At 44.2% G+C, this 18,600-nt stretch overlaps 1 protein-coding gene and 2 long non-coding RNA genes across 5 annotated transcripts in view, besides 7 other annotated features; 2 read left to right on the top strand and 1 right to left on the bottom strand.

Annotated features, from left to right (window-relative positions):
• Positions 1–6,074, bottom strand: part of LOC105377891 (uncharacterized) — a 60,354-nt gene extending 54,280 nt beyond the window's left edge. For both annotated transcript variants that reach the window (XR_942778.4, XR_007059677.1), the window contains exon 1: positions 5,577–6,074. This is a non-coding gene — a long non-coding RNA (uncharacterized LOC105377891). The remainder of the gene's footprint in view (positions 1–5,576) is intronic.
• Positions 93–237: an enhancer, noted in NCBI's record as "145 bp 6:91012867 sequence used in MPRA reporter constructs". NCBI's record gives its function as "activates a minimal TATA-containing promoter with rs56353819 allelic activity by MPRAs in UACC903 melanoma cells {active_cell/tissue: UACC903}" and the evidence as "EXISTENCE:reporter gene assay evidence [ECO:0000049][PMID:36423637]".
• Position 165: a transcriptional cis regulatory region, noted in NCBI's record as "rs56353819 or 6:91012867 MPRA-significant variant associated with a GWAS melanoma risk locus at 6q15". NCBI's record gives its function as "allelic transcriptional activity by MPRAs in UACC903 melanoma cells {active_cell/tissue: UACC903}" and the evidence as "EXISTENCE:reporter gene assay evidence [ECO:0000049][PMID:36423637]".
• Positions 4,256–4,757: an enhancer, noted in NCBI's record as "NANOG hESC enhancer chr6:91008275-91008776 (GRCh37/hg19 assembly coordinates)". NCBI's record gives its function as "activates a minimal SCP1, AML or CMV promoter by ChIP-STARR-seq in primed H9 embryonic stem cells {active_cell/tissue: H9 hESC(primed)}" and the evidence as "EXISTENCE:reporter gene assay evidence [ECO:0000049][PMID:30033119]".
• BACH2 (BACH transcriptional regulator 2) overlaps positions 6,470–18,600 on the top strand; it is a 370,316-nt gene continuing 358,185 nt past the window's right edge. For both annotated transcript variants that reach the window (NM_001170794.2, NM_021813.4), the window contains exon 1: positions 6,470–6,833. The gene's annotated coding sequence lies outside the window, so the exon portion shown is untranslated. The remainder of the gene's footprint in view (positions 6,834–18,600) is intronic.
• Positions 6,557–6,606: a silencer, noted in NCBI's record as "silent region_17398". NCBI's record gives its function as "represses an Ori minimal core promoter by ATAC-STARR-seq in GM12878 lymphoblastoid cells {active_cell/tissue: GM12878}" and the evidence as "EXISTENCE:reporter gene assay evidence [ECO:0000049][PMID:35858748]".
• Positions 7,232–7,291: a silencer, noted in NCBI's record as "silent region_17397". NCBI's record gives its function as "represses an Ori minimal core promoter by ATAC-STARR-seq in GM12878 lymphoblastoid cells {active_cell/tissue: GM12878}" and the evidence as "EXISTENCE:reporter gene assay evidence [ECO:0000049][PMID:35858748]".
• Positions 8,075–8,164: an enhancer, noted in NCBI's record as "active region_24834". NCBI's record gives its function as "activates an Ori minimal core promoter by ATAC-STARR-seq in GM12878 lymphoblastoid cells {active_cell/tissue: GM12878}" and the evidence as "EXISTENCE:reporter gene assay evidence [ECO:0000049][PMID:35858748]".
• Positions 8,107–12,063, top strand: LOC124901361 (uncharacterized). Its single transcript, XR_007059676.1, has 2 exons — positions 8,107–10,830; positions 11,368–12,063. It is a non-coding gene; the product is annotated as an uncharacterized LOC124901361 (long non-coding RNA).
• Positions 17,267–17,767: an enhancer, noted in NCBI's record as "H3K27ac hESC enhancer chr6:90995265-90995765 (GRCh37/hg19 assembly coordinates)". NCBI's record gives its function as "activates a minimal SCP1, AML or CMV promoter by ChIP-STARR-seq in primed H9 embryonic stem cells {active_cell/tissue: H9 hESC(primed)}" and the evidence as "EXISTENCE:reporter gene assay evidence [ECO:0000049][PMID:30033119]".

Genomic DNA, 18,600 nt, shown 5'->3' with positions numbered 1-18,600 from the left:
AGCTATTCCTCAAACTTCAGCATTGAGGAAGTCAAACTTCCCTCCTTTTGACTCCACCCTTTACCAGAGTGATCTTAGCCTCCTCCTGCCTCCCAGGGCCAGTTCCCTCCTAGTCACACAGGCTAGAGGTCTCCATTCCCTCTTTCTCTTCTTCCTCCCTCTCCGTCTCCTCCCACAAGCAAATGACCCCTAAACCATAAGCGCTTCCCAGCCCTGCTCACTGCCTTAACATAGGCTGTAGGACTTGAGCTACTGTCTTATAGTCTCCAGCCTCTTCAGGCCCCTTCATATGGCCAATGCTGTGTTCTTTCCAAAACCAGATCTGATTATGCCTCTTTGGCAACTGGGGATCACTCATCGGCTTTCTACCCATGCAGCCAGGCTTTTCAGTGTTTCTGGGGAAATTAGAAGATAAACTCGGAGCATTTTCCTCAAGTACATCCTTCAGTACTTTGATTTTGGGTGTGGGAGAGGAACTTTTAGTCCTGATCGTCACAAATTGTTAAACTTTTTTAGTAAAATCAACCCATGTACTTCAAAGAGAACAAAAGAAGTTCAGGTGATTTTTTAACATGTAACAGGAAACTGCAAAGACATTTTATGCTTTGAAAAGGCAATTTGGGGCCATGTTCTCAGATCCCTAGGAAGTTAGCATTCCATTTTCTCTGCCATTCTGAGCACTTCACTGGAAAAGTTCAATGAGAATTTTGATCTGTGGATAAAATTACACCTTCATGCTGATTTCCCATGTCTACCTTTCCAGTCCCATATTCCACCACTGGCTGTCGCTGCTAACCATCTCAATTCCTGCACTTTCGCTACTCCAATTTTCCTGCCTGGAATGACCTTCCAACATTTTCTTTTCACAAAATCTCATCCTTCAGAATCCAGCTCTGTTGTCACCTCCTCCAGGAAGCCATCCCACATTCTCCTAAGCAAAGTCACTTGCCAGAAGACTTTTGTCCTATTCAGGCCCTTAGCATGGTGTGCTGTGAGGACTTCTTCACCGGTTCACCTTCCCCACTAGTCCAGGAGCCCTGACTTATGCAGTGTTTTATCTCCAAAAGTTAGAATAGTGCTAGTACATAGGTTGTGTATGCTCGAGGTGTGTCTGGAAAAAAAGAAAACAGGCAAGTAACAGGTACAAGGTCTTGGCCATTGGGAGGGGAAAGAAGGAAAAATCTACATTTTGAAAAAATGAGTCATGATCACAATGGCATTTTGTCACCATGGTACTTCAGTACTCCTTGCTAGCCATGACAGCAGGCACAATCCCCCATACCTTCCACTTCTGACCTATCCTTCTTGACATCACAACCTCTCACTCTTTCCCAACACTGCAAGATATGAATGCTATAGTCAGATGAAAGTGTAACCTCAAGGGGTCCTTCTGCATTAAAAGTCCAGCCACCTTCCCTCCTCTCTGACTCCTTCCTGGCCTTGAGGTTCAACTGAAATTCCACCTTCTCAGTGAAACCTTTTCTGGCTACTTTAACCTTCATAATTTGTTTTTCCTCTTAACATCTACAATACTTAAGTTCTTGTTAGAATTTAATTATGCATATTTTGAATTTTACAACATTTATTGGCTACCTTTATTACAGAAGTAATATATTTATATTACAGAAAATTTTTTTAAAAAGCAAAAGTAAAACCACTTATAGGCTCTTTATTTCAAGAGAACCACTTGAACACTGTGCATATAGCCTTCCAGATTTTTCCTATGCATGCACTGGCAATTTTTTTTCACAAATAGGATCCTATTGTAAATAGTTATACAAATTATTGTTAAACTATACTAACAAAATATTAATATATCAATATACATAAATTTTCATCACTAATTTTTTTCATTATTATTATTATTTTTGGTAGAGATGGGGTTTCACTATGTTGTCCAGGCTGGTCTCAAACTCCTGAGCTCAAGAAATTTGCCTGCTTCAGCCTCTCAAAGTGCTGGGATTATAGGCATGAGCCACCGTGCCCAGCCACCAATATTATTTTTGATGGATCCATGATATTCATATTTTATATATGAACCACCATTTATTTAGCCAATCATTTCCTGTAAGGCATTTGGATTTTTCCATTTTCTTTTTGCTATCATACAAAAAAGATCTGTACATTCTTAATTTTTTCATTAGTATAAATTATAACACATACAATTTCTATATAATTTTAAATATTAATATATAAAAGTAATAAAATCAAATACAAAATTACATTTTTCAATTGTTTCATGTATATTAGTTTTGACTCCTTATGTAGATTTAAGTTCCTTAAGGATACAGTCCAATGTTTCTTAATTTTTCACCTCAACATGTAACAGATGCTCAGTAGTGTATGTTGAAAAATTAGTTTATTTCATATACCATATTTTACTAGTTTATTTCATATAAGCTTTTAGATAATAGTGGCATCAATTCTTTACTATAGAAGAAGATCACTATAGATAGTAATATAAGAACATCACTTTCTTTTAGGGACTATTTCCAAAGTCCTTCTTAGGAACTGAGGCAATCTTTGAGGAGATGAAGATGGGACAGATAAGAGATATACAGTTTGAAGGAAAAAGGCTGCCAGCCAAATTTAACAATAGCTAGAAGCAAAATTTTTGCTTTTCTGGTTTGGATTGCCCTGATCATTTTTCAAAACTTGTGTGAGATTTTGTACAATGAGAAATCTCTTCTTGGCAGTGGTGTGTCCAGAAAGCCCCCAGGAGTGGGCCCCCAAGGTCCTCTGTGCCGTCCAGCAATTCTGCCACATCCCTGGCACTGGTTCACATCTTTTCTCTATCCCCTAAATCTATCCTTCCCTCCTCCACTATCAGTGAACGGTCTATCTTCTTACTCCACTAAGAAAACAGAATTCCTCAGACAACGGCTTCCCATACTTCCTACCATGATATTCCAGCCTCCCTGCACTTCCCCACCTGTGCTGCCCTTCCTTCTGTTGGTTGGGATGAACTGGCCCCTTTCTCTCTCAAGGAAGCTTCTCAGCTTCCTTGTGGGGATCTTTTTTTCTTCATCTTGCTGACCTCTAAATGTCGGAGTGCCCCAGGTCTTAAACCTTAGACTTCTTCTCTTTGCTCCTCTTCTCCACCCATGTTTCCAGTTGCTGTGTTGATGACACACAGATTTCTATCTCTAGTCTGGACTTCTCCCCTAAATTCTAGATTCCCATGTCTGATTACCTGCTCACCTTTTCCACTTAGATGTCTGATAGACATCTGAAATGTACTATATCCAAAACCAAATGTTTCAGCATTTCCCCCATACCTGCTCCGCCTGGATAAATGAACTCTCCATTAATAAGCTGTTCAGTCCAAAATTCAGAATTTCCTTTGACTCTTCTCTCATATCCTACAATGGAATCATCAACAAATCTTGTCCGGTTTATGCTGAAAATATATCTGGATTCCATTTATGGCTGTCATTCTAGCATTCTATTAATAGTTTAAATCACCATCACCTCTCTAATGACTTATCTCAATAGCCTCCTACTTGGTCTCTCTGCTTCCATTCCTGTACTTCCCGTGACCCAGCAGAGTGATCCTTTAGGAGTTGAGGCCAGGACATGTTCCTTGTCTGCAGAAACCCCTACAGCATCCCACTCCATTCACTTTTGTCAGATTTCATTGGATGTTAAATTTGCCCTGCCATGCCTTATTCAAGGTACCACATTTGAAATTCTGTCTACTGTTCTGCCTAAGAAAAAATACAATATTTTCTCAACATCATCAAATCCTGTACAGGGTGCTGGAGAGCAAGAAAATCAAAGGCTCAAGAACTGCCCATGTCTTTAGTCCGTCTTCCTTTCCTCATCTGTTTCCTGTATATTTTAATTTTTCCTGTTTTATTTTCTACAATCAAGAAGATTTCTATTATAGAAATAAAGTTTATTTGTTTCAATGCCATGATACAGATTTATTGTCCCTGGAAATATCATGCTTAGAAATGAATCACAGACAAAGCCCATGCTCTGGATCAACACACATGTGTAATTATGTAGGAAAAAAATGTATATCAGGAAAGGTTGAATGCTCCAGGCATGAGAAATAAATTGACCTCCACTCAACTTACTGCCATGATTATACAGAGGGAAGGACCTGGATCTGTTTCACATCATAAACGCCTAAATTGCCAGAGCAGCACAAGCCCAGGAGTGGCCATGCAAACTCATGATGGAGGTGCTAAGGCTGTCCACAGCCCAACCTCTGCAGCAGTACTGTTAAATGAGTGTCTAGTACTTGACTTACCATTTTAATTTCACATAATTCTGAATGTATTTTTCGGCTTGAATTCAAATAACCCACTTCTAACTACCGAAAATAAAGTAGAAAAATGAACTCACTACCAGACTTCAAAGCTTATCCAAAGCAAAGATTTCGTCTTACAGCCAGAGGTGCATGATTGCAGAGCTGGATGTAACCTGAGAGGCTAACTACTCCTAATTCAGCCTCCTTGAATGACTGGATGATGCAACCTATCACAGGTGTTTTAGGTTTTTTCATCTCTATTTAATGTCCCACCTCATGCTTGAAAATCTCAAAGTGAAAAAGCTCCAGTCTGAGTCTTTGGGCAAGCAGACTAACTGAAATGACCTGTTAGCCTTTGTTGTATCCATCTGACAAGATCAGCTTGTAGAATCCAGAATGGAGGTGGGAGATCAGCTGGCAGCCTCATTTCCCTCCTCAACCACCCCTACGCTGATGTGCCCAACTCCACTCACAGCTGGGCAGCCACCGCTTGCTTGAAAATAAATGAATCTACACCACTCTCATACGGATGCTCTCAAGCATCCCTTGTTGTGAGAAAAACATTTATTGCTGCTACTAAAATGCGTAAAGTTATCTCACAAACACATACTTACAAGAATGAGGAATGAGAAACAGAACCATCCATAAAACTATAAGAAACGGCCTGGCCAGGGCAGACCAGGAATTAGTACTCTGTCCTTGCCAGGGGTCAGGCAGGGACCTCAGAAGCAGGGTGTTTTGTCCTAGGGGGCACCAGACCAGAGGTCAGGAGACTGAGGGCTACTCCTAGCTCTAGGACTTTTCCTTATCTGAAGGCCGGGTCGGTTAGCAGAGAAAATCTCACAGTCCCGTGCCAGACCTCCACGCAGGGACTCTGCAGTGCTGTTAGAAAAATTAGCTCAGCACCTTCAGCTTGCTTTCAGCCATCACTTAGCTTTCCACACAGACATTCCAAATGGGGCCTTTCAAAACTCTGCCCTCAAATGAAGGTAGTTCAGAGCAACACTTTAGATGATATCACAAGACTCCCAGGACGCTTCACTGCTTCCTCAGCATACGCCAGTGCCCGTTTTACAGGGGGGATTTATGATCCTTCTCTCAGTAGAGCGAGCCAAACTTTTATAATATTCATTAAAAATCAGCACCACGTGTAATAATATGGAATACTGCCTGTACACAAGAGGGCCAAGTTATAGGTGTTTAGGGAAACGTGGCAGAATTTTCTGGCCTTGGCAAGAGGTAAAGTTGCAGGCACCAGCACAACACTAACACAACCTTATTTTATTGCAAATGTACATTCAGCCTAAATCCTAATTACCTTCTGTAAAATCCTAACCACCACCAAGCTTTCTTCTGACAGGGCACTCACACGACGGCCTTTAAGGGCAGCAACAACATCCTAAGAGCCGCAGAAAGGAAAGGCAGGGGAGAGTGGCTGGAAGGCAGTAGGAGCTGGGGCTGAAGCCCGGGAGGTTGGCTTTTAATGTCCTCCTGAAATTGACCACTCTCTTTCCAAAAACACTGGCTTGGGGGCTTAAAGGTTCGCTCAGTAGGGCAGGCGGAGGGCCTCCTGAAAAGGATTGAGAAGTCAACATTCAAAAGGCTGCTTTTACTCGCCCGGTCCCCACCCAAAAGGGAGTCCGGTCAGCTTTGTGGGGGCCAGTGGAGCATCTTTTCTTGCCCTTCCGGGAAAACGCTAGCTAACCCTGGGATCCCCGGTCCCGACGTCTGCTCTCCTTCCCCAGGTGCAGCACCTAGGGCTCTGGCCCCCTCCCCACGTGCCACACCAGCCCTCACCACTACTCTCACCCTGCTATGCCCCCAACCCTCGTCTTTCGTGGCCGGGAAGGCCAGGCCGAGCGGGGCGGTCAGCCGGGCCGGGAGGAGGGGGCTCTCCGGGCCGCGCGGCCGCACAAAGCGGGGAGATCTGCTGCTGCGGCGGCATGAGGCGCGCCCCCTCCCGCGAGCCAGCGGAGCGCGCGCGCCCGCCCCCGTCCCCCGCCCCCCGCCCCAGCCCCCGGAGCGCCATTCGCGGAGCGGCTTACGCTAGTCGCCGGGCGTACCGCGCCCCAGCGGCCGGGGAGGTGCGCTGCCCGGCTCCCGTAAAGTTATTGTGAATGGGGAGCGGGTGACGTCAGCGCCGAATGTCAACAATGTAGCGATTGAGAGTGTGGGCGTTCCGGGGAGAGCGCAAGCCGCGCGGCGCGGAGCAAACAGCGCCGAGCCGCCGCCGCCTCAGCAGCAGCAGCAGCAGCAGCAGCGGCAGCAGCGGCCGTGCACGCCCGGGCTGCGGTCGCACAGCGCTAACGTGAGCGGCCGCCGCCCTCGCCACCCCGCCTGCCCACTCCCGCCGCCGCCCCGCTCTCGCTTTCCCCCCGGCCTCCCCTCGCCCCTTCCCCTCCCCCTTCCCGGCGCACTCGGGGGGCTGGGAACGAGCTGCCATGTGATGCGCGTCCCCTCCGCGAGCTTTCGGTGACCCACGAACTGCCCACCTCGCCGGCTGCCGGGAGGGGGCTGCGAGCCGGGAAGACGCGGGGAAGAGGAGGCGGAAAAGGACGCAAAGTTCTCCGGCGAGGTGAGTCCCGGGCCCCGGGCCCCGGGCCCCGCCGCTGGGCGGGGTGGCGGGGCAAGTTTGCGGGGGGAGCGGGCGCGCGGGGCGGGCGGGGAGGCGTGGGGAAACGGCGCGGGAAGGGAGCCCCGGCCGCCGGGCGCGCAGCCGCCCTCCCCGCGCCCTGCCCGCTTTTATGGCATTTTCTAGGAACGGGAAGGGGGTGGGAGCCGAGCCGGCGGCCGCGCCGCGCCGAATGTGTGCTCTCCCTCCCGGCTGTTTACGGCGGCCGAGGCGCATTGTATTTTGCTGGCGTCGAAGGGTGTTTTGGAACAGCAGAGGGAGGAGGAGCAGAGAGTAATAAGTCAGGCATGGGGAGGGCGGGCTGCAGGAGGCGCGCGTCCGCGCGAGCCGCAGCAGCTGTCAGACCCGCGGCCCTGCCCCCGGCCCGGCGAGGCCCGGGTGTCCCGGCCCCCAGCCTGCGATCCCAGCTCCAGGCCGGGCGGCCTCCTCCTTAACCCTCGGCGTGCGCATCCCGGGCTGCTCCGCGAGGACCTTGGCCGCGGCGCCTTTGCGCTCAGCTGTCAGCCGCCGCCGGGTGGCCCGGACCACCGCGACCGGCGGGGAATCAAAGCCCAAGTTTAGGGTCGCAGGAAGAGGCGAGCTGGGGGCCTCGCGGCGCAGACCTGGATCGAATCTCTCCTAGCGAAAGATCGGGTTGTCGGAAAGCGTCCCGCGTAGCTAAGACCTAAGGGCGCCAGGCTTCTGAGAGGGAAACCTTGCACCTCCTCTCCCACAGATCCTCCATGAAGTCAAGGTGCAACACACACACACACACACACACACACACACCCTACACTCCAGTCTCCAAGCCCCAGAAGCTTCACCCAGGAGACTGGTTTATGAAGGGGACACTGCCCTCCCCGTCCCCGCGTCGAGGCGCTCCGTGGCCCCGCTGTGCTTCGCTCACCCGGCGGGTGTTCGGGAGCCCGGCGCCGCTGGAGACGGCGGCGGGCGGCGCTCACGGGCTACCCTAGGTGCCCACGAGGGGAGAGACTGGAGCGAGCATCTCGGCGACCTCGGTCTGGCCAAGCATTTGCAGGAACTCGGACCGTGAGGGGAAGCGTGCAGGGCCGGGAGTGAGTGTGTGAAGGGGTGGCACACTCCTGGCTTCTGGGGTCGCGGGCGCATGGGGCATCCCCAGCACTCTCCCGCGCGTAGGCGAGTTTGGTAACTTGAGGGAAGTTCCGGCGCGGCCGCTGCCGGGGTGGTTTGTCTGTGGCCCGATGAGGCGCGCCTCGCAGCCTGCTCTCCCGGTCACCGCCGTCGCCGTGACCTGTGGCCTCCAGGAAACGAGAGGGACCGGGGCGCCCCACCCGCGAGACGGACCCGCAGTCTCCCGGCGGGCCCGCGGGCGGCGAGACGCGGCGTTCCTGGTTTTCACCTTCGCTGTCTAGTGCTGCAGTCTCTCACTCTCTGTAAATTTCATCTGTTGAGTGTATTTAACTAAAAAGGGTAATTACTTTAGATAAAAATCCTTTCCTGCCTAGTGGGAACCTTGGCGGAGATGATGCCTAATGAGATATTTTGCTTTTGTCTGTTTAGAGTAAAATTAGAGATGTTAACGCTGATAACGGTTTTCTCAGATCATTAAAATGTAACATGTAGGAAAGGCACGTCTTGCTGCAAAGGCTCGGGCTGACATGAAAGAAGCTGAGCGTGAAAGGCTGCCCCTCCTTTGGCGGAGAGGGCTATTTTGGTAAGGCAGCGGGCGTCTTGCTTAAAATGTGAGATCGCCCCACCCTGGTTCTCGGGCACCTCCCGAGTAAACGGCGTTTTTCATTCTTGCAGGTAATAATAAACGTGAGTCAAAATGACATCTTGTTAGAATTAGTCTTTAGTCTGTAAGAGAGATTGCCAAATTACAGTGTTGCGTTCAAACTGCTCCACTGAAAGGTCTGTCAGCATTTCCATTATAAATTCAGTTTTTCTGGAGTTTATAATTTCACCACAAAACTTTGAGTGGCTGAAATGTTTTCCCTTCTAGTATTCTGGTTTTTGAAAGAAATTTATTGATTGCCCATTTCCAACGTTTTTTTTACTCTCGAAACCTGAATATCATTGAAATAGAGCGAAGTCCCAGAAATGGAACACACAACCATGGAATAAAGTATTTTTGTTAGAACATAACTTTATTGGTGCAGAGCCGTATTTTCGTTTTGCATTGCAGGAGGCTTCAGGTTTGCCATTTGGTAATCATGAATGTGTTGAGTAAATTCTTCTGCTGTCTGTCTATTCTGCAGGTGGACTGAAATGTCAGTTGGTAGTGTGTTTGCCAGGATTACATGGAGACACACACTTCTCAGTTAAGTGTGTGTCTGAACTCATAGCTAAATTGTGAACACTCCTGTTAGTTACTTTTTTGGTTCTTTGTATGTTGCATGTCAGGATCTGCTATGAAGAAGAAGGGGTGAGGTGAAAGAGAGGGAGGGGATCAGGATTCACTTTCTGTATTACCAGTGCCTGGGAGAAAGCCATTTATTATTTTCCTATTGAATTATGCCCTTTGACTTAGTATCTTCAGGCAATTCTTTTCCAGTAGCTCACCTCTGGCTGCTGTGTAAGGGGCTTAATTATTTGCAAACTGCCTTGAAATCCCTGGATGAAAGGCACTGAATAAGTGCACAGTATTGTTATTCAGATATGGAATTTAATGATCCATTATAGTTCATCAGGAAAATGCACTTTGCAGTGATGGTAGGAAATGTTTCCACCTGATAGAGGGTAATAATAACTGCTTAAAAGTAGATTCAGATTACAGATGAGACAATTAACTCTAGCCATGTGCTCTTCAATTTGTTGCAATTCATTTTGTGATCAAAGTGAGTCACAGAGGGCCAGATGGTCAGGTTCATGTTCAGATCTCTCCTAGGCCAGCCCTTCACTTCTGGGCCCACTGTCTGCACAGCCGACAGGACTTAGTTATTCATTAGCGCTTGTGAGCTGTTTCTCAGAATTCCTAATCGAGGCTCCTGTGATGCCAACAAAAGGGCTCAAGCCAATCTGTATTGTTGAGAGCAGTTTAATTTTACTTGGATTAACTTTCAGTGTCTCTGGTGTGGATCCAGTCTTAACAAAAAGGAAAGAGACCCTAGTGGCTCTCTATCTCTGCTGTGCCTGGCCCCTCTACTCTAGTTTTTGAACCTCAGATTTCAGGGGTGTGACATCTAGCTTATTGTAAATGCAGGCTTGATTGTTAATGAATGAGAGAATACTTAGATAAATAAATATCTTCCTGTGTGTCCAGGGGGTGAGAGCCAGTACTAGCTTCATGGGCATAAGACCTGTGCAGTTACATAGGCCCCCTTCCTCTTCCCTGCTCAGAAGGACCTCATATTTGGTATAAGGTTCTGCTGTTTTCTTCGGAAATTCTTAATAATTTTTGAACAAAGGGCCCCTCGTTTTCATTTTTCACTGAGCCCTGCAAATTATGTACTTACCTGGTTCTGGTGAGGAGCAGGGCATAGTGTGGAGTGGCAGGCCGCCCCTACTCAACTCATTGTAGACTCTTGCTAGGGAACAGTTGGTAGGACTACTGGCTTTGTGTTGCCACATCATTTGATTTTTCCAGGGGAAGCTGAATATTGGATATTTATGTGGAATTTCCTGATTTTTAAATATTGGCTCAAATCTTTAAAAAATTTTTGGATGAAAGCATATGTAAGAGCTAGTGTCGGCCTGGGGGCTGCTTGTCTCCCACTACTGAACAGACTGAAACATCTTTTTTTGTTTAATATCTTTGTGTGTCTCTGTTTTCTAAAGGCCTGGCATATAGTGGATGATTTGTGAGTATGCACCCAATGAATGGTTACAACTACCTGGAAAATAGAAAGATGCCAAAAAAACAAAACTTCAAATCAACATTGAGTCCCACTCAGGGATTGATCAGCTTCCTTTTTAACAGAGAATTCGACATGAAAGGCCGAATAATTTAATACCATGAGTACAGTGTGATTCCTTGCAGGTGAATAATCCATTACTTTTGAACCACCTGCCCTCTATTTAGTTGTTACTGACCAGATGGGGTAACTTGGCTGGGTAATGCCTGAGGACCTCCATGGGAGTTTGACATTTGAGAACACTCACCAAAATAATAGTTTTGATTTACTGAATCCGCACCATGTGCCAGACCCAGTGCTGACTACCTTGCCTGAATGTACTTCATTGATTCCTCAAAGCAACCCTTTGAAGTAGGTGTCGTGCCTGCCCATTCTGCAGAGTTGGAAGAACTAATCTCATGTTGGAATGAACTTAATCTGAATATAGTGCATGTTTTCTTGAATGTCTGAAGGTTATTTCCCCATTCCATTACACAGTCCAGTCCTGAATCAATGACTGGGCATGGTGTAGGACTGTGACATACAGAGAACATGGTCCCTGCCCTCACATAGAACAGAGAACAATATAAAATGTAACATATTTGTCAAAATCTGCAATTCAGATAGCAGACGCTGTAAATCTGCCTCCCTGTTTTTCTCCTTTCCCTGTCTGGATGTTGAAGAAGTTTCAGCGACATATGACCCTGTCAGAGGTACTCACAGTTCAGAAGTCAATGCTGGTTGCAAAAATTGGAATTTCTTTGGAAAAGAAGACAAGCTTTTGGCAGAGCTGGGGCCACATATGGGAACGCAGCACCAAGGCCTTGGGAATGACGGAAAATCGCTTCTGTATTGTTAATAGCAATATATGACCTCTGCTGTCCTCCTATCTTTAAATTTTATGTAAATATTTACAAACTGTTCATGTCCAAACTGAAACCTGCTATGAACTAAACATTTTGTAAACTCAGTAAGATTGCCCAAAATACAACTCAACTTTCACCTTTTTTTTTTTGTTTGTGATGACATTTAATTTAAAAAAAAAAGACAGTAGTTGCTTTTTTTTTTCTTTTTTTTTGTCAGTTCAGGGTCTTTTAATTTTTTCCCTTTACTTTTTTTTTTGTTAATTTCAAATGTCAGTCTATCTAAAACTGAAACTTAATTTTACTATCAGCATGCTACTCAGCTTCCGTAAGGCTGGAAATGTCCTGCGAATCTTACCACTATGTCTTTTCCAAGGGCCATTTCATTTCTAAAGAATGTATAAATTGAACCTCATCCTGCTAGTGACACTACTTCAAAATTCAGGCAGGAATTTTGCCATTTGTTTTTCCTTGAGCTATTTTTTTTCCAAAATAATAAATCTTCCCAATCCAAAAGCATTTCACATCATCCTTCATTCTAGTCATTGGAACTACAGCCAAAATGCCTCTCAGTCTTCCCCAGTGACTTCATAATCACCGTTTCTTCAGCATATTCCCTGGTTGACTTCTCCTTTGTTCCTTAGCCTCATAATGAATTGCCCTTTGGTTCTGAGATGTGTCATTTTCCTCCCTGACCTTTTTGTTCTTTTCCTGAAGGCTGTAGGACATGCTGCTGCTGATGTGATGAGAGCCGGCGCTTGGTTGCTAGGTCCCTCCTGTCCTTGTGTCAGCTTTCATTGGCTCCTTTCCTAAGCATTTAAATCCTCCACTTTCCAGTCCTCCCATTCATCTCATTATTCTCTTCATGTGTGCCTGAGCCTGTAGCTGGCATGTAGACAAAGTCCCAGTTAGTTAGAAGAAAGCTTTTCGAGTTTCCAAGTCTTCCATCACTCTAGTCTTGGGCCATCTTCTATTCTCCCTCCCCTGTCACTTTCTGCAGATACTTCAGGAATTTCCTCAAGACTTTCCAGGAGTCTAACCCAAAGACAGCTTAGACCTTCACTTCGGATTTTAAAGTTGGGAGATCCCAATGTGATGATTTCCATTCCACAAGTAGGAAACAAAGTGAATGTACATGCTCAGCATCTTTCCTTAGTATTTCAGTATCCATAGATTTTTGGCAATTTTTCTTTTTTTCCTATCCTGTATTCTTCTAAGCAACAGAAGCTCGTGGATAGTGCAAAATGGGCCAAGTGTCCAGAAATACTGTTGCTTAGAGGCAGATGCCTCATTCATTCATTAAACAAATATATACTGAGTATCTCTTACATGGCAGGCATAGTGTTAAGTGACCACAGTGCTAATGGGGAGCAAACCCAGTCCTGGCCCCTGGTCTCATGAAGCACGTCATCTGGTAGGAAGAATGGCACTGATCAGTTAGTAACAGATAACCCACTGCTCGTGAAGGAAAGTATTTCATACACCAGAGTGTCTAATGGGCAGATTTAACCTGGTCGGGAGGTTGGGGAAGCCCTCCCTGAGGAATTGTGGAGTGACCTTCCATCAGGGACAGTCTGAAACTTGAGATTCACTTTTTCTCCAGCTTCCTAATCCTATTAATTCACTACTATCTTTGGCCCTTTGGAGTATTGCCTAAGCCATGCTGGAACCTCTGGGGCCATTTTGGCAAATAATAGTTCCTGTATACAGAGTCCAGAATTGATTTATTTACCTGGGTCTTTAGAACCTGATAAAAACAGAAGTTAACTGCCAAGAGTACTGTTCATTTCCATACTTGGAAAAAATACAAGTTAACATTCTTATTTTGAACATATTTAGGTTGGTTTTGACAATATTTGAATGATCAGAAGCTACAAAGATATTCTCTCCCAGTCAGCTGATGTGTGTAGGGCCTTTGGTGAAAAAGTGAGTCTAAATAGTCTGTCTGAAGTCCCTGGCTACTCCAGAGCAGAGGGTCTCCATCCTCTGTGGCCCGAAGATTATTCCAAGCTTGTCCAACCCATGGCCAGCAGGCCTCTTGCGTGTTGAATGCGGACCAACACAAAGGTTTTTTGTTTTTGTTTTTGTTTGTTTGTTTTTTGTTTTTTGCTATTTTTCTTGTTTCAGCTCATCATGTATCATTAGTGTTGAGTGTATTTTATGTGTGGCCCAAGACAGTTCTCCTTCTTCCAGTGTGTCCCAGGGAAGCCAAAAGATTGGACACGTCTTATTTAGACCATTCTTAGATGCAAAATTAAGGAATTTTGACAGCATCTATTTAAAATAAATTGATTATACTTCATGCTAACACCCCTCTATTTTCTTTTTCTTTGATGATAGTTAACTTGTATTGAGAGCTTCCTCTGTGTGCTGCTCATATTAACTCACATAATCCTCAGAACAACCCAGGGCTAGGTGTGATCACTAGAAGCCGCAGCATAGGTGTCGCTCAGCTAATGAATGGTAGAACTGGAGTTGGACACTAGCTGTCTGATGCTTGGGCCTGTTCTCTTACCATGTTATGGCTCTCCCTTTTCCTTTTCTTCTTCATTTGAAGTTGGAACTCTCTTTAGCAGTTCCCAGAAGTAGAAATAAAGGTCATCTCACTCTAAAATATTGGATGTTTTGTTGACATCTATCTTAAAGTTAAAAAATAATTTCTCAGTAAATCTGAGTGAGTATATCTCCTGTCTTTCACATGGCCTGCTTTCTAATAATTGCATTCCTTAGGTTTTAGTGTCCATTTAGGGATCGGAAAGTAAAAGTGATGCATATAAAGGCAAAAGAAGTACTAGGCATATAACTGAAATACCATGGCTCTGTCTCCAGGGTTTACTTGTAACTCACACTCCTACCCTCTTGTTAGGTGGAGGGAATTTGTTTTTTGCGTTTTGTTTTTTGTTTTTTGTTTTTTTGGTGGGTAGGAAAAGGTAAAAAACTATACCTGTAAGAGGTAGAGTATTCTACCAAGGAGGAAGATGTTCATTCAGAACTAATTCCATCAGAAATCCTAATTAGAAATATTAGCTACCAGTAACAGATAAAAGGAGGTAACCTTTGTTCTCATTCTGGTCAATTTCAGGAAGAGATTATCTTGCCAGATTAGCATGTTGCAACTCTCAGCTGGAGATTTGAATGGTTTTAAAGGACTCAGGCAGTTGGTATGGCAGTAACCCCCAATTACCTCAGGTTTGCAGGGTCACTGTTTAGAATGCTGACTCAGCTCTGCCTGGGCCAGACACCGAAGTTGTCATCTTTAGTCAAGAAGCATCATTCTCAGGAGCCACTTGAAACATTAAGCACACATTTGAAGCTCAATTTGGGAAATGATCAAGTGTATGAATGTATAGTACTGTGCTTATTTTTCAGCATTTAGTTCAAATTTTGGAGAAAGCTAAATGGGAGATGCTTAGTGTGTCAGTGTTGGAGGTTTTAAGTGATTTAAAAAATCAAGCAGATGAGTGCATAAAGATTTCTATGCAAACAATGTTGAGCTTAAATTAAAGCTGCTGATTTAGTGTGAGAATTACTTGCATTGATTTGTAGAATATCTATGTGGGTTCAAGATTCCATATTATGCAAATGAATAAGCCCTGAAGAGTCAAACTGAAAAAAAAATGAAATTAACTGTGAAAGATATTATTACCCATTCAGCAAGAGGAAAATGTAGACAGAGTTAACCCTTCCTTTTCATACATTTTCTTGGGAAGATAAGTGCCAGGGATGATGGTCCGTGTCCCAGATGTAAAGAAGCTAGGCACGGTTTGCAGCCAGTTCCCCCATCCTCCTTCTGTGCTCACTTTTTTGTTTCATGCTCTCTTACCTTTTGGCCACCCAGTCCCCTCAACTAGTCCTTGTCCTTCCCTTCCAAAACCAATCTCAGAGAAAGATTTTATGAACACAGTTTTACTAATATATAAGTAACTGAGCATACTTAATGTGTTACTTTTCTGAAGCATCAGCATGTTAATAGGAGACAAAGCCAAAGAAGTAAAACCCTAAAGATAAAAACAATAGAATTTCGCACACTGGTAACCTGGTGATAGGAGACCATTTCTGAATGGAGAGAGGGCTCGTGATAAATAAACACAACCCTAGGCAGAGAATATAGGCAAATGGATTACAGTATTTAAATCAAAGTAGTATTAAAATACAAAGAGAAGATTATTTTTAATAATACATTTGTCAGTGAGCATTTCCCGCCTTTTGCCGTACATTGGAGTTGATCACATAAACCTCTATAGCAAGATGGTATGTTATTTAACATTTAAACAAAGCTTCCAGGGAAAGCCATTTGGTTTGTGGTTAGGGATTTTTGTTATTCAGTAGCAATGAACCTGAAATTCTATATTATCTTTGCATGTTGAATTTTAGAAGAAAAAAAAAGCAGCGGATCCAACTTCACTTACCTCCCCACCCCAGTTGCATTGATACAAATTGAATTGATAAATTTATTTCAAAATTGGTGTGTCCCAATTTGACATACCACAAGCATAGTGGTGTCAGCATGGTGGTGACATCTGGACATTAGGAGAGTTGGTTGATTAATTAAACTATACTTATTTTAGATAGAGTTGTTGGCAGGTAAATACCTGGCTGTAGAGTCAACGCCCTTCAGTCCCACCTCTCCCCCACCATACCCTTCTCCAGCAACCATGCTATGTTGAGTTGATGGCTCCATCTAGTGCCAGTCTGTGGAACTGTCTTGCAGGACTTCACTGTCACCTCCAGAGCTGGGTATGATGAAGAGTCCTCTTTCTCTGGGAACACACTGTCTAGCGGGGAACTGCCCTCTAGTTCCTACCTCTCCTTTGTTTTTGCAGTTTAGTTATACCTCCGTGTCTTTCTTTGTTCCAGACTTAATTTGTTTCCCTCTCTCTAGTACCCCCTCTTTGTACTTGTTTCTCCTCCTTTTTTGTTTTCCAAGTCTCAATTTTTTTTTTGGAGAACAAAACAGTACTTAAAACCGGTAAGTATAAAGATTTTTTTTCTAACAATACTTTATGCCAAAGTAAGAGAATTCTATGCATTTTAAATGAAACTATCAATTGAAACCATGTTAGAGAACCAGAATGACCCTAAAGTTGAAGTCTGAAAGTGTCACTTGGAAGACTGTGTCCCTTCATCCTCCTGTAGTTAGACATTTCCTCAAACACAGTTAATCAAGAGTATTTTCTTTTAAATGGTTTTGGAACTATCATTGTAGTATCATTTTCTTTTTAGATTATAAATTTAACCTCTCATATTTTAAGTTCAAGACATTTTCACGGACTATCAAGGAATCCTAGCTCATTGGCCTGGCCCTATTTCTGTGGGAAAATGTATTCTCAGTTCCAGACAACCAGTGTTCCTGCAGATTTTTAGGTCCCGTATAAAACGAGAGAACATAGATGAATGAGAGGCATTGTCAGACAAAGCCTGGCACATGAGATCTCAATTAGCATACAGGTTTTAAATTTCCCACATTAAACAGTACATTTTAAATTTCCACTTATGTTAAGCGTGTTGATATTGTGGGTTTGAAAGTAAGTCCCCTCTGAAAAACAGGAACTGTGCTTGTCTGTTACCAGTTCTTGTGGTCGATATGGTAACTATTTTGATTTTTCAGAAGGGAGGAAAAGCAGTTAAATCTAGTTAAAATTAAAACCAGTTAAAATTAACTGGCTCGTGAGATTTCAGTGCAGCTGTTCCACACATAGCAACACTAAGAGTGAGTTGTTTATTACCATGATTAATTATTATTAGTTGTTACTTCTTTTTGAGCAGTGGCATAGATTATTTATATTTTTGGTCTAACCTTGGAAAATAGAAACTGCAAGCGTAGAGAGGTTCCCGTTTGCTAATTTGCATGTACCCTGTTTTTGTTTTTGCCAGGTAGGTGTGTGCATCTCAAGTACACGAGAGTAATTTAGCATGTCAGCACTTTCCTACCAGCAGTGCTTGCTGACTCATGCAGCTGTTGTAGCACTCAGCTGGCCGCACTGTAAACTGCCCATAGTACCAGCACCGCCCTTGGAGAGCTCCGGGCTGCTGGGCTGGTTAGCTACTGGGAGGCTATTTTCAGATCTGTGGTCACTGCTGAGCTGGGTCCTCTTCTCCTGCCAGCAGCCAGACACAGCCTTCTGGTTGCAGGGGAGAAAATTGGACAAATTTCTACCTTTGTAGGGACTGCATAAAGATTCATAGCATTTCTGGATATGCCTCAGGAAAACTTTTTTTTTGCTTCACTTTATTTTTCTGGGAATATTTAAGGGGAGAGGCAAAAGGGGCTGATAATAAATGAAAAGGGAATGTGCTGTTATTTCCTACTAAGATCAGAAAGAGTTTTCATAAACCTTTAACTTAGTTAGGCTTTCTTGGCGTAACTGAAACCTGACCCACTTCTCCCTCAGTGCAAAGCAGTGTGTCCTGAGTAGGGAAGCAGGGGCGAGGGTGCAAGTGACTAGCCTGACATTGTTTTATGTGGCTGAAGTCCCTAAGTGATGACAGCTTTTGTTTATATCCGTTCCCTGTTATTGAGGTTAAAAAACAAAACAAAAAACTTGACCTCAGGTCATTTTAAAGCTAGCATGTATTTTCAGAGATGGTTTCACTGTTTGTTTTCAGAGTTCAGTTTTGCTTATTTTCATCGGAAAGTGTGAAATGTTGCTTTTCTGAGGCTTCTAAATAAACTTCCTTTTGTAGATACAAGTTGATCCAATCATCATAAACTGTCTTGAAAAAGGATGATTAAAGTAAGATCAGCTGGGGAAGGGAAAGCTTTGCACACCCTTGAGGAGTTTGCCTTCTTTTTCTTAAGTTTCAATAAGCATTCTGAAGCAGCTTTGACCAGTAATAAAGAAAAGCCACAGTGACTGTGTGTAACATGATGTTGATGGAAGTTCTTGGTTTCCGCCGATACGAATGACTCATCAGTATCAATAGAATTGTGACTTCTAATAATAACACAGTGCAAGACCTTCAAAACATGTGGTTTTAGCCCTTGCTCTTAGTGAAAGGTTGGAAAATGTTAGTTTGAGCTTTTTTTTTTTAATCTCTTGATTTTGCCCAAGT

The sequence above is a fragment of the Homo sapiens genome, chromosome 6 (genome assembly GCF_000001405.40).
Source record: "Homo sapiens chromosome 6, GRCh38.p14 Primary Assembly".
Classification (NCBI taxonomy): domain Eukaryota; kingdom Metazoa; phylum Chordata; class Mammalia; order Primates; family Hominidae; genus Homo; species Homo sapiens.
Note: the sequence above shows the minus strand (reverse complement) of the source record. Positions and strands in the feature narration are given on the sequence as shown.